Here is a 17,144-nt window from a genome sequence, read left to right on the forward strand (position 1 = left end):
AATTTTTGTATTTTTTTTTAGTAGAGAGAGAGTTTCACCATGTTGGTCAGGCTGGTCTTGAACTCCTGACCTCATGATCCGCCCGCCTCAGCCTCCCAGAATGCTGGACTCCTGCGGCTGAGACTATTGTTTTTGTTAAATAGGTCAACATTGAAATTTTATTTGGTTTATAGGGGATGACGACACCAGCCAGTTTTGATAGAAAACTATACCACTGTGAGGGCTTTGCCCAGAATTTCTGGTTCTGGAACCTAGATGGCTTGATTTGGCATAGGTGGGGAGCTTTGACATCTACACAAGGGAGTGGGTTGAATCACTTGAGTTACTTGAAAGCACCTTGCTCTGTTTCTGACATGTGATAGGGACACCGTAAATGTTCATTGAACCTCAGATCACTTCTAATCTCGTGATTCTAAAATTCTCTTATTTTAGTTGGTCAATGAAAATAACTAATGTAAAGCATTTATATTTTAATATTGGAATACATTTGAAATTGTGAATGTAAGTTTACTCGTTTATAATGTCCCTTTTCAAATTAATTGGTTATAACAATTAATTGATTACATCTAATCATTTGTAAGAAGAGTTACGGCCTATTTCCAAGAATTTTTTGCTTATTCTGATGTCATATAATTGCTGCATTACTTAATGCCAGATTCATATCTTATGAAAAAGATTAGCATTAAACAAAAATATTTAAGCTTTAGTATGTTACTGAGACAGATGAAGTGTCCATTTTTTCTTTTATTGTGTGCATGAAGTATGGGGATTACAAGCAGTAGTTTTTATGTGCTTTTTAGTTTTTCATATACAAAGATAATGTTAATATTAGCTCATTTACATTTTGAAACTTTTGTAATAGTGGTATAGATTTGCACTGCATAATTCACATTCTCTCAGTCTCCTGCACACAGTTGTGAGATGACTGGTTAAGAGGGCACTTTGTTTCAAAGTTAAATGATCCAGATGAGTATTGAACCTATAAGCTTAGCTTTGTTCATTATCATGAGGTTCTGATCAACAAAGCAGTTCAACAGAGAACCATGCCATGCTGTCATTTCTGCTTGAAAATAAGCCTTTTAGAGGTAGAAGGTACAAACATGCATATACACATGCACCAATAAAAAAAGGAAATTGTGTATGGTTATTAAGGTAGAGTTGAAACAGGAAATAACGTGCGTTTATAAGTGGTTTAAAAATAATTCTTTTAATAAAATTTTCAGAAATACTTGATATACGCATGGAAAATTAAATGTTTTATGAAATAAACTCCAATCAGTAGACAAGTTAATGGCTTTTTTAAAAGCACTAATGACTTATTTACTTAGGCTATATAAATTTAGGTTAGATAAATCTGAAAAAAAAATTCTTTATAAATCACTCAAATTTTCCCAGTGTTTCTTACCTCTAACCTATTTAGTTTACACTGGTAGAGTGGTTCAAAGTGTTAAAGTTAACCAAATTTAAAATTAAATGTGTAATCATATGTTTTAGTGTCCGAATGTATTTAAATTAGGCCATATTTCATAAGAATAGCAGTATATTAAACTAAAAAAGCTAATAAAAGATACTATTGGGTTAATTAAAACTTGAAGTGCCTTACCTTGAACACCTAGGTGTATACGCCTATAACATGTTACTCCTTCACGGTTTTTTGCAGTGCAGTGCTGTACCCACTTATTCTGGAGGTAAAAGATAATTTTGTTCATGATAGGACTGTGGTTAGCTGTCTTTCGTTTTTTAACTGTTTTCTTTTTTTTTTGTTTTGTTTTTGTCTTTAGAAAAGACAAAACTATAAAAAGAGGCACAAAGAACTGAATACAACTATTTGGACATATCCCAAATGCAGTTTATATGACTCTAAGTTAGTAGTGGAAATCTCTTATTGCTGACTATACATTTCAGATATGTCAGATGTGTAATCCAGAGAGTAAATTCACTCACTGTATTTTCAGTGATATTTTAAAATTCATTTATCAGTAGGATCATTCTGTTCTAGACAAGTTGGCTATATTATAAAACATTAAGCAAGCAGGCACTAAGTTAAATATTGTAGCAGTTGAAATTTAATGCTAATCTTACAGTTTTACACAGTTAACAATCTAGGCCAAATCTATTGATACCTTTGGAACTACCCTTTAAATTCCATCCTATGCTTGTGAAAAGGTTGCATATAATTTCTTTTCCTTTTTCTCTCTTCTCTTCCTCTTCTTTTTTCTTTTTCTTTTTCTATTTCCCTTTTCTTCCTTTTTCTTTCACAGAGTCTTGCTATATCACCCACGCTGTTCTCCACCTCCTGGGCTCAAGCTATCCTCCCACTTCAGCCTCCTGAGTAGCTGGGACTACAGGCGTGTGCCACCACAGTTAATTCATAATTTCATTAATAGATTTCAGATTCAGTCATTGAACAGATGTTTAAGTAACCCCAAATTAGGCTCTTTGATGGATACTGAGATGTGAAGGTGTAGTTTCTGCTTAAAGGAATTTATAGTCTAGCAGTTTATTTTGTTTGCCACAGCCTGTCATGTGTTTTATAAATCAGTGTTGTATTTTCATGATAGAGTGAAAATAGAATGATACTCATTTTTTAAGTAAAATAAATTGTGAACATTTCACATTCTCTTAGTTGGTGAACAGCTATTTTGGTGGTCTTGTTTTCTAACAGCTTATGAGTATTAGACCAAATCAGTTTCCCAGTTGTTTAAAATAGAGTTAAATAAGAATTGTTTGCTTTACTGCCTGTTTTACTTCAGTCCAAGACTTATTTTTTGTAAATAGCTTTTCTGCATATGTATACATACACACACACACACACACACACACACACACATATGCATGTATATACACACGTTGTAGGGAAGTTGTTTCCTGGTTCAGCTAGCAATTTCAATTCTCTGTTTAACGTCAGAAGTTGTTTTGTAGAATGGGATGTTAATATTTTTTTCTACACTGATTAAAATCATCCTTTGCCACTAAAGTCAAGTATCTGCTAGGACAGAAATGTGCAAATAGCATGCGTAAATGTGCATTTTTAGTGACTGTTGTTAGCTTGACAGTTTTATTTTCAAGATCCTCTTCTCTCCCGACCTAATTAATTATGATGTGTTTATAAGGCAACAATAATATATTTAGTTAGTTTGCAAAATGAGAACAATTTTTCTGGTTTTTCCATTTTTGCATGTTTTGAGTTTGGATTAATTGGACTTGTATTATTCTCAGTAGACATATATAATAAAATAGTCCATTTAACTGTGATTCTTTCTCTTGGAACATTGGCTGACTTTTAGATAGTGAGCCTTGTGCAGTTTCATAAATACAGGTACTACTGAGTTTTGGATGACATTCTTTACACAACCTAAAAGTAAAGGTGAGCATAATAGAAGCTGGAAACAAGCTGCTGGGCATAATAGAAGCTGGTAACAAGTCTGACGTTTTCTTTGCACTAGGAAATGTATTTCTTATTCCAAGTAATATGCCCTTGTTAGGTTCAGGATCTTTTTCAGTGGTTATAACTGCTTAAACATTTTTTTTTCTGTTTAAAGTAATTCATGTTATACTGTGGCAAATTTTGAAAAAAATGTTAAGTGTAAAGAATAAATTGAAAACATCCATGATCCTATCATCCAGAAAAAATTACTACTGATACTTTAATATACATTTTTCCAGTTTATTCCTTGCATGTACGGATTTTTTATTTATTTTTTTTACGAAACTTAGAATTATAACTTTATATATACTGTTTTGATCATACTTTTTTTTCCTGAATGGGATGTTGGTCTCCTAGTTTGAGACTTTAAAGTTGATTCTTTATAATATTACTGTTTTAAATAACACTGGGACAGACATTTTTTGTACATGTATCTTTGATTGCATCTCTGTTTTTTTTTTCTTCCTGTAGGATAGATTCCCAGAAGTGGGATAACTGGATCAGAGGGTGATTACCCTGTGTATAAGAGTATGTGTCTCACTGCACCTTCAATGGCATTGAGTAGGTCAGTTTTTACAATCTTTGCCAATGTGATAGATATCTGTTACATTCTTGGGTGGTAATAGCAGAAATCCTCATATTATTAATAATCTGTAAAACCATCATAGTGTATGAAAGAAATTTGCAATTGTCCTGAAATGAGTTTCTTTAAAAATATTTTAGGTAAAAGTAATCTGTGACCAAAAAAAAAATTACTGATTAAAGTTGGAATTTCAGCATTTTTTTTTTTGGAGAGCTAGAATTTTAATGTTCTTTTATTAAAATGACAAACATGAGAAAGCTTGTTTTATAGTATGTAATAAATATAAATATTATGTAAAACTAAATTATTTCAGATAGATGAGGGGGGTAGTCACATGGTTCTGACTTTGAAAAAACAAAAAAAAAATCTGTGAATGTTTAGAGCAGTAGCTCTGGAGTTGGGCAGCCTGGGTTTGTGTCCTTGCTTTGCCACTTACTAAGTACATGATTGGAGGCAACCTGCTAAATATGTGTATGATTTGATTTTTCTGAACCTTGGCTTCCTTATTTTTATAAAAGGAGAATAATATCTACCCCATAGGATTGTTGAGAGGATTAGAATAATGTGTAAGACCACTTGGCACATAGGTATTTAATAAAAACTAGCTATTTTCGTTAAATTTGTTTTTTCTGCCAGTCTCCTCAAGGGCAAGAAATATCTCATTTTTGTGTTTCTGTTTACATGAATAAATACTGAAATGCAAATGGGCTGTGGTGAGCAGTGGCAGCAGGAGGGGAATGGTGGACATTCTTTGTGGTAGGAATGGCATGTGCCAAGATAGAAAGAAAGTTCAGGAGAAGTTGGAGGACAGGTGATTAATTTGACAGAAGCCTAGGCTTTTGTATAGTTAGAAAATATGGAGATAAGGGAGAATTATGGAGATTGGGGCTAGACTTTTAAGCCATTGAATGCTACGTTGATAAGTGTAGACTTTTTCAGGAGTACAAGCTTTGGTATGTGGAAAATGACTTGATAAAAGCATTCATCGAAAAGCAGATGAATTCGCTTGTAGAGTAAAGAATGAATTGAGGAAGGAAGAGGTTGAAGACAGGGAATCTGGATTAATAGTAACACAGGTAAGGTAAGATCTGAGGGTTTAAAGGAAAACAAAAGGGAGGGTTTTGGAGGAAGTGCTTAGGCTTCATGTTTGTGAAGATCTGTACAACCAATTTGGAGATCAAATTCAAAAGAAACAGCCTAGGCTTACATGCAGTTAGGCAGCCTTTGAGAGAAGATGGGACTCAGTACACTTTGGTTGTTACTATTGTTTTTTTAAAAATTGAAGGATAAAACATTCCAAGATTCCTATCATTTCGTCAGTAAAAAGCATATATTTATGCTTTTAAAAATATATATGTACAATCTCCTGCAGTAATTTTATTTAGTTAGCATTTTGAGTTCTTGGTTAACAGGATATCCTCGCTTTTAGACTTTGTATTTCTGGAGCTATTACCTTAAAACTCTTCACTGTAAGGTGAAATTCTTCTGCATGTGGTTTTTGTAGCATTTGTGATTGCTGCAGGACTTTAAAAAAACCAGTCGTGTGAGCAGAGGTGATGAGAAGTGAAATACAGACTTCTTGTTTGTTAAGCAGCTTCTAAGTAAAATATAGGAGCAAAAAAATGGGAAATTGTGTGTATGATGTTTAGAAAAACATTACTTTTAGTGTTCCTGTTTTCTCTCTCAGCCCTGAATTTTCCTAATTAAAAAAAGAGAGTTTGCAGATGCCATTTTTAGTCATTCTAGAACCTGACTAGAGCTCTACTCATACTTTCCACTTGACTGAATAATATAAAGCAAGTTAGCCAGAGATTGATATTAATAGTATTTCTTTTTGACTGATAAGTAAACTCACATGAACTGTGAATTGTCTGCTCGGTATCTTCCAATGGAGAAAAGAAGCAACCACCAATTTAAAAAAATACAGGCTTGTGATACTTATAAGGTGTTTGCATTTTTTAAAACAGTGAGTTATCATACCTTTCTTAATGTTTCTTTTAGTTTCCAAATACTGCCTAAATTCAGAAATAAAGTACTTATTATTTTTATTCAAATCTCTTCCCTTTAAAACTATCCTTGAAAATATTTTTAAATTAATAAGCAAATGTAACTCACAGTGCTCGTAGTGTTGGGGATTGTGTGCGTGTGACTTTTTTTTACAAATACTGTGTTTTTCCTGTGTGAATCTGCAAAAGCCCAGATCTGGTCAACTGAATGAAATTTCATTTGCTAAAGGGATCTCAGATATTCAAAACGATGATTTAATGTCTACAAACTATAAGAGTCTCTTTTAAATAGGTTTGAGGATACTTCTGCCTGTTTGTCCAGCAGAATCTGAACTACAGTCATTCTCTCCCCATCATTCCTACTCCTTAAACTATAGCTGAGAGAATAGCATAGTCCTTAGTTTGGGCCATTCTGGCATTGCCACTATGATGGCCTGTTGTCTTACATTTTTAGAAACTTGCTTGCATCTTGACAGAAAAAATAAATTATTAAATTAAGTAGCTAGCAGTTTATGGGATACTGTTATAAGATAGTTCATTTAATTTTTACATGAGGTGAAATACGAAATGTCTGAAATGTGAATAGACTTTTATATGCTTCTATCCCAAAGGATTAAAATAAAACAAAATGAAGTGTACTGGTTGAATAGAATATTATGTACATTTTTCTTTATCAGAAGATTTTTTCATACTCCTTTTGAATCAGCAATTTTGAATGCTAAATATAAATTCTTGACTAAGAAATCATTCCCTACAGTAATAATAAACAGTTTGGTTAGTCGTCCAACATGTATTTATTGAGTGATTATTGAGTGCTTGATACTATTCTAGGAACCACAGATTTAGCAGTGAATAAGACGTGCTTTCATGGCAATTTTTATACCACTGAAGGGTTGATGATAGTAGAGAGACACAGTAGAAAAACAAGTAAATAAGATAATTTCAGAGGTCCCAAATGCCATGAAGAAACTATAGCAAGATGAAATGATAGAGAATGATGAAAGGGTTTTAAATTGAGTGTTGTGGAAAAGCTCGCTGAGATGGTGATATTTAATGTGGCACCTGAATTACAAAATGCCAGACATATAACAGTATATAAGAAGAATGAACCAGGCAGAGAAAGGGCCCGTTGGTGCAAAGGCCCTAAAGTGGGAAGCAGATCATCATGTTTGAGGAAGAACAAAAAGACCCTTGTCATCACAAGGCTAGGAAAAGCCTGGTAGATGAGGTTGATAGGGAACAGCTCACTGGATATCATTATTTCTCTTTATGGGTAAATATATGCAACTTGTGAATTTGAAGATGGTGTTACTAATAATACTCATTTAAATCTGTAGGGTAACCAGTAGTTTTTCTAGACATACAGAATCACTAATTCCTGGTCCATAAATTATGTTTTTCCCAGGGATCTGCAGAGATAGGAAGGAATTATGATTAGTATTACAAAAAGTCAAATGAAAATTGTGCATTTACCCTAAATAGACTTATACAGATAAAATATTATGTATCTTTTCTTTGACCAGTGATTATATTGACTCAAATCATTATCATACATTGTAGCGATTTGCAGATTGTTAAGGAAATAAAATATTGTACTTATCCCTTCAAGATCCTAGCACTGGGTTTTGTTAGTTTTTAAGTCTTTGGCAATTTGAGAATTTTGATTAGCTTTTACTTATGTGATTAATAAGATGTCATTGCAGTTGGTAGACAAAGATCTTTAAACACGTGAAATCCATGGAATAGAATAAAGTTTTTTTATAGAAAGGTTGGGAGCCATTGATTAATGTCCTATCTGTAATGGACCTACAGGGAGAAGGGAACTCATATGTTTTTGAGTGTAGACCCCTTACATCCTATTTAATTTGCACAGTAAATCTACAAAGTAGATATTGTTATTGTCCAGTTTTTTTACAGGTGATGAAACTCAAAGTAATTATGTAATTTGTGAAAATTTACACAGCTCTAATTATAGAGAATCACGTGGGTAGTAAACTTCCAGAAGAAGGGACTTTTGCAATACAAAGCAGAAAATAGGTGATCAATACATATTTGTATCTTGCTTAAATGTAAACATGAATGAATGAGTAAATGACAGGAGACTGCCTCTGTCCCTATACTGTTTTCAGTGAGTCACACCATTTTTCTCCTAAATGAGTCTAGAAAATTTCTTCAGAAATAAAGTGACTTAACCTGTCTTTTTTTCCATAAATCATACGGTGAAAATCCTGAGGAGAGAAATAAAGACCAAACACTTACAAAGTATAATTTTCTCTTGGGCTTTGTTAACTGAGTAATTTGTAGAGTTTTTGGCTTTAAAAAAAAAAAGTCTGCTTTGCACCATAGTGTTCATTATCAATAACATCTTTTGGTTCTGTTTATATCTTAATTTTTTTTGTAACCATTTAAGAATTTAGTATTCTGAAATGAGGTGATGGAATTACAGTAGTCCAAATGTTTATGTAGCCAGTGTTAGTTGTCTGCCTAATATCTATCACAGTCTGTGGGGAGTGGGGCAGGGTTGGTGGCATGTGTTTGTTTCTGTCTTCTATTAGAATATCAAAGTGTGTGATTTGTTGCTCAGAAATATGAACTCATAATTCTGGGTCATTTAATGGTTAGTAGGATAAATGAGGGCTTTTTTTTTTTTTTAAACTAATGCCTACACCCAGGCAGAATAGGAGTATGAAATCTCTAAACCCTGTGTTTATAAAGTTTCTAATCCTTCAAATTAATTAATATCTTAATAAATTCTAAGTTTAGTATTCTTTTAAATGAATATCATAGGAATGGATACCTAGAGGATGAAAGTAAATATAAGTAATTGAGAAATTGAAAGAAATCAGAGTAAGGTTGAGAAAGGAACGTAATTATGATACAGAATTTACCATAGGGGAATAACACATGGAAGTTGACGTGCTAGACTGTGGAAAAGGAATTTATTTTCTCAAAAAAGAGAAATGAAATTGATGGAATGAGGGCTAGGAGGAGGTAAATTATGGTTGAAGGAGTAGAATACTTTGGATTAGATATTGGAGCCTACGGCCAGGTGTGGTGGCTCATGCCTGTAATCCCAGCACTTTGGGAGGTCGAGGCGGGCGGATCACCTGAGGTCGGGAGTTTGAGATCACCCTGACCAACATGGAGAAACCCCGTCTTCACTAAAAAAAAAAATACAAAAAAACTAGCTGGGCGCGGTGGCGCATGCCTGTAATCCCAGCTACTCAGGAGGCTGAGGCAGGAGAATCCCTTGAACCTGGGAGGCAGAGGTTGTGGTGAGCCAGGATGGTGCCATTGCACTGCAGCCTGGGCAACAAGAGCAAAACTTGGTCTCAAAAAAAAAAAAAAAAAAAAAAAGATACTGCAGCCTGCAGGGACCTTCAGAGAGAATATGATTAATCTGTCACCATTTGTGGCAGTATAATTACTACTTCATGAGGTATGGTGTCTTGTTGGTTTGAGTTGGAAGGACAATAAACCTAGATCGAATGAAGAGGGTTGTTGTGAAGAGGTAACATATTTTAAAATTTGTTTCTAGTTGTCTGAGACTTGGTATGACAGGTCTATAAAAGATAACTTTATGTGATATTTTGGTTCTTGGTATCCTCAAAGTGTTGGTTTTTAATTTTTCCTGGTGGATTTCTGTATGTCAGCTTTAGACTGCCCTATTGTTGCATCCTGCTGTTCTCCATTCTAATCATACAGTTGATTTGGTAATGACATACATAACCCCTGGCATGAAGTTTTTATGCTTCAGAAAATTGTTTGGCATATAAAGTGCAAGTATCAATTTGCTCTATAGATGTGTATCTATAAAAACTAGTGTGATTATTTAAGGATATCAGATTAACTTAAGAAAAACCATAGGCAAGTGATTTGGGAGGGAGAATCTTATAATCAGACACACCTTTATTTGCATGTTTAGATTTTCATATATTAGGTTATTTCGGTAGTGTTTCTTTTTCGTTCAACTGGTAAGAAGCCTGGGACTTTAGTATCTCGAAATTGGTCAAATAGTATATACTCTTAAAAAGTTTCTGTGTCTTTTAAATACCGAGTTTCACACCTAGGACAAACCTCAGTTGTAAAACATCCCTTTGAATTTTAAATTACTGTTTAATAACTTCTGACTAGTATTTCACTCAAGTGTTACAACTTTTACATTGGAATATGATAGCATTATAATTCAAGAACCAACCAAAATCTGCAGTAGAAACCATGGGTTGGAGGGTTTTAGATGATATACTCATCCTAATATTCCCATTAGGCTTCAGACGTGGACTGCTGTCACAACAGAACATACTTGAGATGTGTCACCACTCAGTGCCATCTGCCTACATGGGTACATAAGCTATATAGTAGGCCTTAAATATTGGACATAAAGAATCATTGCTTTGTGGTTTTCTTAGCTGACTCTGCTTAACTTCTAGTGTTCTGGGCTGAGCCTGTAGTCAATTTTGATCTTTTGCATTTATAACAACACTCCCATAACCACATGTTCAGTGTCCTCTGTGTGTTGGTATACCAAAGATGGACATGTGAAGTTTTTTAATAGTGCAAAGAAATTGGCTGTTTAATCAGTAAAATTTAAAGGTGATTTTAAAAACATTCAAATATTTGAGAGAGTGCCCTTTATATGAAGGACCAACTATCTCTTCCCTCCCTGGTTAATTTTCACAATATAATAAATATTTTTTAGTTATATAGGCCAAAGTGTTCTATAGAAAATCAATCATAAAATTGCATTTGTCTGTGCTATTTTTAAAAAGTTCTCTATTGTTACATTGGTAAATGCAGATTACCAGTGTTTACATAGTATGATTTTAGTACTTATTTTTAAAATATATATCTATTCATATGTAGAATATAGGCTAAAAGGAAACACCAAAAGACCTAGATTATTATCTCTGATGTATGGGTTATAGATATTTTATTATATGTTATATATTATATGTATTATTATATGTCATATATTTTATTTCCCTTGTTAAGCCTTTTATGAACTTTACATTTATATATATATATGTATGTATGTATGTATTTATTTATTTATTTATTTTATTCATTTATTTTTTCGAGATGGAGTCTCACTCTGTTGCCAGGCTGGAGTGCAGTGGTGTGATCTCGGCTCACTGCAACCTCCACCTCCTGGGTTCAAGCGATTCTTCTGCCTCAGCCTCCTGAGTAGCTGGGATTACAGGCACGCACCGCCACGCCCAGCTAATTTTTGTATTTTTAGTAGAGACGGGGTTTCACCATGTTGGCCAGGATGGTCTCGATCTGCTGACTTCATGATCTACCCGCCTCGGCCTCCCAAAGTGCTAGGGTTACAGGCATGAGCCACCACGCCTGGCCTGTTCATATATTTTATAATCAAACTAAAAGTTCTAAAATCAATTCATTATAGAGTATGAAATTAAATTTAATAAAGCTTTTAAAGATAAAGATTCTTAGGTGATAAAATGAGTTAAAGGCTTTACAAATAATAAATAGGATTTCTGAAATGGAATTTTATGTTATGGTAAACATTTTTCCTTTAAAACTAAAACAGATGCAAAATTAAGTTGCCATTTTCTGGGCATGGGGATGGGAGAAATAGGAAAGATTTTGTACTGTTGTACCTTGCCTTGGAAACCTTTTGATTCTTCTAACTCAGATTTGCTTCAGTTACGTCATATGCTGTTTTATGGATAAGTGTTTAATTATAGGATTTAAACTTATTTATATAAATGGTATGCAAAATCTTGCTTTGAATATTTGGTCATTTGTATTTGTGGTCAGCAGGCAAAACACTTTGCAAAAGTTTGCATGTAGTGCCTACCAGTTTTTCTCAGTTTTCTCATCTGTCAGTGGAGAAAGAACAATATCTATATCTTGTTTGAGGATTAAATAAGCATGCCTGAGGTACAAGAAGCACTTAAAATTATTGCTGCTGTTATTACCCCAAAGTTGGGATTGATGTTTCTTTGTTTTCTTTGTGTTTTGTTTTGTTTCTGAAACAGTGTCTCACTCTGTCGCCCAGGGTGGAGTTCAGTGGCTGCAATCTCTGCTCACTGCAACCTCTGCCTGCAGGGTTCAAGCAATTCTCATGCCTCAGCCTCCCAGGTAGCTGGGGTTATAGGCTTGTGCCACCACACCCAGTTAATCTTTTTATTTTTAGTAGAGATGGAGTTTTACCATGTTGACCAGGCTGGTCTTGAACTCCTGACCTCTGACCTCAGGTGATCCCCCCACCTCAGCCTCCCAAAGTGTTGGAATTACAGGTGTGAGCCACTGTGCCTGGCCAGCATTGATGTTTCCATGAAACTGAGGTAAAAGATCCCTAGGGACTGGAACAATATCTTATGCCATGTATCCCCTATTTTGGTCAACCCTGTGTATTCCCCATTAATTAAGTGGGACGGTTAGTTCCTCACTTAGGTAGTTTCATTGTTTATGTATACAATAAATCTTTGGCATTCACGACTTAATAGTTTAGACCTAAAGTATTTAGCATGAAAAATTTATAATCTGGTATAGGCAAAATTTTGAATTCAAGGCTGATGTGCTGAACAAGTCTGTTAACTAGAGAATTGAATATAGCTGACAGTATCCCAGTTTTTATTACCCAACAGTGACGTGACTTTTGTTCTCTACTTAATTTTCATCCTAGAATTAAAAACTGTTTCTTTGTGAATTTAGTGCCCGGGGAAAGCCAGTAGTTAATACTGGTTTTTGCAGATTTAGATAAACTCTTGATTTTAGACAACAAACACTATGGCAATAAAGTAAGTTTATTTTAGTAGCAATTCAATTCATGAGTGTTGCTTATTTCTTTTCTGTTCTTCACAATGTCTTGCGCCCAGTGGAGATAATGAACAATAAGGTGTGTTTGGTAGTTTGTGAAGAAAGGTAAATTTTTTTTTTTTTTTTGGAGACGGAGTTTCGTTCTTGTTGCCCAGGCTGGAGTGCAATGATGTGATCTCGGCTCACTGCAACCTCCACCTCCCAGGTTCAAGGGATTTTCCTGCCTCAGCCTTCTGAGTAGCTGGGATTACAGGCATGCGCCACCACTCCCAGCTAATTTTGTATTTTTAGTAGAGACAGGGTTTCTCCATGTTGGTCAGGCTGAGTCTCCCCACCTCAGGTGATCCACCCGCCTTGGCCTCGCAAAGTGCTGGGATTACAGGCATGAGCCACTGCTCCCAACCAAGAAATGTAAATCTTTGAATTCATTAAAGGAAAGGGGTGAGTTGACTGGGAATTTCTAGATTTCTAGGCTCTTATATTATTTCTATTACTTCAGTACATAATTTTTTAAATCTCTCAGGCCAAATTAAAATATATTTCCTGTCTAGATTTCATATTTCCATGGAGTGGTGTGATGATGTAAGTGTGCTTCATTTAATAAAAGCTACTCCGGTATACCTCATAACCTTGCAGAAATACTGATTTTATGGGTCTGTGATAGGGCTAGGGTGCTGTATTTTACTCCTGTGATCCTCAGATGATTCTGATGAGATGCTTTTTCAATTTATTTATCTCCATATTTTCATTTTAGTGTTATTTTTAAAAAATGGTTTGTATTATATTTTTAAAGCCATAGGAATAAAGAAGTACATTTTATAGTTAATAATGAAAATTAATGATATATCTTAGCTTTCCATGGTTATGTTTTGTTTTACTTTTTCAATTAGTTAAATGTACATAGATTACTTAAGTCAAACTCAAGTAATACCAAGTTCACTGTAGAAAAAAATAAAGTACCAATTAGACATTATTTCTCAGCCTTTTTAGATATTTTTCTAATTGTCCCCCTCATGAAATTTTAATGCCACAGATATAACTGTATATTTGTTTATGTATTGTATGTATATCTGTGTTTTATGCACTAAAAGAATAAGAATTATTTTTTTGCCCCTCAAGAGCCAATTTTCACCCCATTGGTGGTGATACTGCTCCTGTTGAGAATGCATGCAATAAGCCAAAAGAAAAATCACCTTTAATTTTACCTTACAACTTGTTAACATTTTGGTGTACATCTTTCTCAGTGATGTTCAATGCATATATGCCTTTTCTTTGATGAAAATGAAATCAGATACATAATACTTCATGCTCCTGTTTTTCTTAATATTTTGTGAATTTTCATGATAAATGAGTATCTTTTAACAGTACCCCATCTCTAATGGATAAATACTATAGATGTATAGTAGTATGTGAATTTGCCATCATTTGTTTAAATGATTTGTCTATAGTTTTCAATTTTTTATTATAAAAGTTCTACTATGAATATCATTATAGTTGAATTTTTCCATGCATCCTTAATTATTTCTGTAGGATAAATTCCAAAAAGTAGAATTACTTCATTCTGTACATTTTAATATTTTTTGGTGTATATGACTTAGAAAGTGAAAGTCCATTTCCCCAAGGACAGCCACCATCAAAATCAATCTTTGTCTAGCCTTTTCCTGTATATATCCTAACATAAATAACTATATATATTATTTATATAAAACCTACATATAAATAATTTTATATAGCTGTTTCTGTCTCTTAAAAAAGAAAAATATATTGTTCCTTAACTACAGCAAGTTGCTTTTTTGCCTAACGCATTTTGCCTGAGAGATTTTAGTCATCCCATATCACTATGTATAATTCTACCTCATTCTTGTAAGCTGTATGATACATAGTAATTTGTCCATTCTTCTACGGAAGGATCTTTTCTTTCCCATTTTGTTTTGTTTTTGCGTATGTCTTTGTTTTTTATTTCTGCAGCATAAATTCCCATTTGTAATAGAATTCTGGGTCATTTATGAATTGAAAGTACTTTATATGTGCTGGTCTTTTTCTGTGTTTATTTTTCTTTCTTTCTTTCTTTTCTGTTTTTGTTTTTGAGACAGAATCTTAATCCTACCCCCGGGCTAGGGTGCTGTGGCAGGGTCACGGCTTATCCACTCAGGTGATTCCCCCACCTTAGCCTCCTGAGTAGCTGGGACTACAGGCGCATGCCAACATGCCTGGCTAACTTTTTGTATTTTTTGTAGAGACAGTGCTTTGCTGTGTTGCCCAGAATGGTCTTGAACTCTTGGGCTCAAGCCATTCACCCACCTTTGCCCCCCAAAGTTCTGGGATTATAGGTGTGAGCCACCGTACCCTGTGTTTTCTATTTTTTTCATTCCTTTATTTGCCTACTCTGGTATTGGACCAGATGTTAATTACTTTTGTATCAGGAAATATAACATGTTCTAATAAGTAGGCAGATAAGTCACAGTTGAATTTTGGCTAGGTGTTGGTTTTTATCTTTTTTTTTTTTAAGACAAGTATATGTATTTTAAGTAGTCTAGAATAATACAGATTTTTGAGGACTTTTAGGTCCAGGCAGTAATTCAGAACTCTAAAGGCACATCAAAGTTGCATAGTGAACAAACAAGCTATTGAGCTGTGAGCTTTCTGGGAATACTTGGAACCATAACATTTCTGTCAAATATGCCTTTTAATCTTTGGTTTATTGATTGAAGTATTTTGGACTCTTTCTGCTATCAAGGTTTTATTCTTTTTAAAGGAGATACACTATCTTTTTTACATTTCTGGTAATGTGTTTAGTTTAGGTACATCATACTGTGTTGTTTCTGCTTATTTCTGTAGTTCTCTACTTATACCTTCAGAGTTATACATAGATTTTCCTGAGGTTTATTAATCTAATATAGCTCAAAATATCAGAATAGATGTTATAGTAGGTAACACTTTTCTGAATTAGAATCCGATTTTTTAAGAGTCTGGTGTTTTGGCTGGATTTATGTAGGTTTCTTTATGAGAAAACAGTAAACATTGCAGAAGAATTACACTTTGCTTTTTAAAGTAGAAATGTGTTTAGTTTCTAAAAATGCTAATTTTTTTCTGAGACTATTCTTTCTTTAAATGTAGCCACTCACAGCATTGTTAAAATTTTTAAATGTTGATTCTGATACTATATACTATTAGTAACTAATACATTATGAACTTTTTTTTTTTTCCTTAGGACATACTGTCAGGTGAGATTCTCAAATGGTTTTAGTGTTCTGGAAGAGTTAGTTTACCTTTGTAATGAAAAATCTCTCATGAGAGTACTGCACTCACCGCTAGGATGAAAACTAATCAAATAAATATAAAAAATGGTAGTCAGTACCCAGGCATTTCAGACAGGACTGTTGTCTGACACTAGCCTCCCTTGGAGTTGAATTGTCACCACAGCCAGGTTAAGCTTATTACAGAGGTTTACCTTGCTTTGGATTGTGGGTCTGCGTCTATCAAAGTGAAAAGCCAACTTTTTCCCCTCATGGTAGTGGTATGCTTTTTGCATGGTGTGTTTATGAAAATTAACATCACAATGGTGATTTTGTGTCGAGGTTTACCATTTAACTAGATTAGAGATTGTATTCTTTGGTGCAAAATTTAACCTAAATGCTTTGTGAATGTACACAAAACTGAGTCCTTTATCTCAGAATCACAGCTGCAAACAAATGACAACCCATGCTTGAGCATTAACTCATTATCACTTAGACCTTTGGCCAAGCCTGTGATTGCTTAGATAAAGCCTTACCCTCCACCTTTGCCTACTTCTTTGTTTTTTGAAGACTGAAGCCATATAAAAACTTCAAATTCATTTAACTGAATAGTCCATGTAAGGAGGATGTTTAACTTATTTTTAGGACAATATTTGATTTTAACTAAATATTATGTGAGACTATTATAAGTGATTATAAAACTATGTGATATTTTGTGTTTTATAAAACTTCAAATGTTTTCATTTTATTATTTCTCATTATTTAAAACATTTTTTCCTCACTAAATATTGTGATAAATTAGTATCAGTAAGACTTTAATTAATAATAGCCATCTGATAGCAGGGATTCTTTAATAGATTTGTTAGAGTATACATCTTCACAGTACATAAAAGTTGAGAGATTTTTATGTTTTGTGTAGTGACTTAAAAGTAAGCTGTTTTTCAGGAAAGTATTAAATAATTGTTACTAGCTCTTTTTTATAATTATTTTCCTATTCAAAGTAATAATAAAGTAATCCTTGAACATCCTTTTAGTTAACACACGATTTTTTAATAATTCACTATTTTTGACCAGGCATGGTGGCTCCCGCCTGTAATCCCAGCACT

The 17,144-nt window shown here is 33.8% G+C and overlaps 1 protein-coding gene across 6 annotated transcripts in view; it reads left to right on the forward strand.

The window, feature by feature from the left end:
• RAP1A (RAP1A, member of RAS oncogene family) overlaps positions 1-17,144 on the forward strand; it is a 174,683-nt gene that overhangs the window by 81,563 nt on the left and 75,976 nt on the right. For 2 of the 6 annotated variants that reach the window (NM_001394066.1, NM_001010935.3), the window contains exon 2: positions 3,899-3,992. The exons of the other annotated variants lie outside the window; for them this stretch is intronic. The gene's annotated coding sequence lies outside the window, so the exon portion shown is untranslated. The remainder of the gene's footprint in view (positions 1-3,898; positions 3,993-17,144) is intronic. 6 annotated transcript variants of the gene reach the window in all.

This window comes from Homo sapiens, chromosome 1, assembly GCF_000001405.40.
Source record: "Homo sapiens chromosome 1, GRCh38.p14 Primary Assembly".
In the NCBI taxonomy this organism is placed as follows: Eukaryota; Metazoa; Chordata; class Mammalia; order Primates; family Hominidae; genus Homo; species Homo sapiens.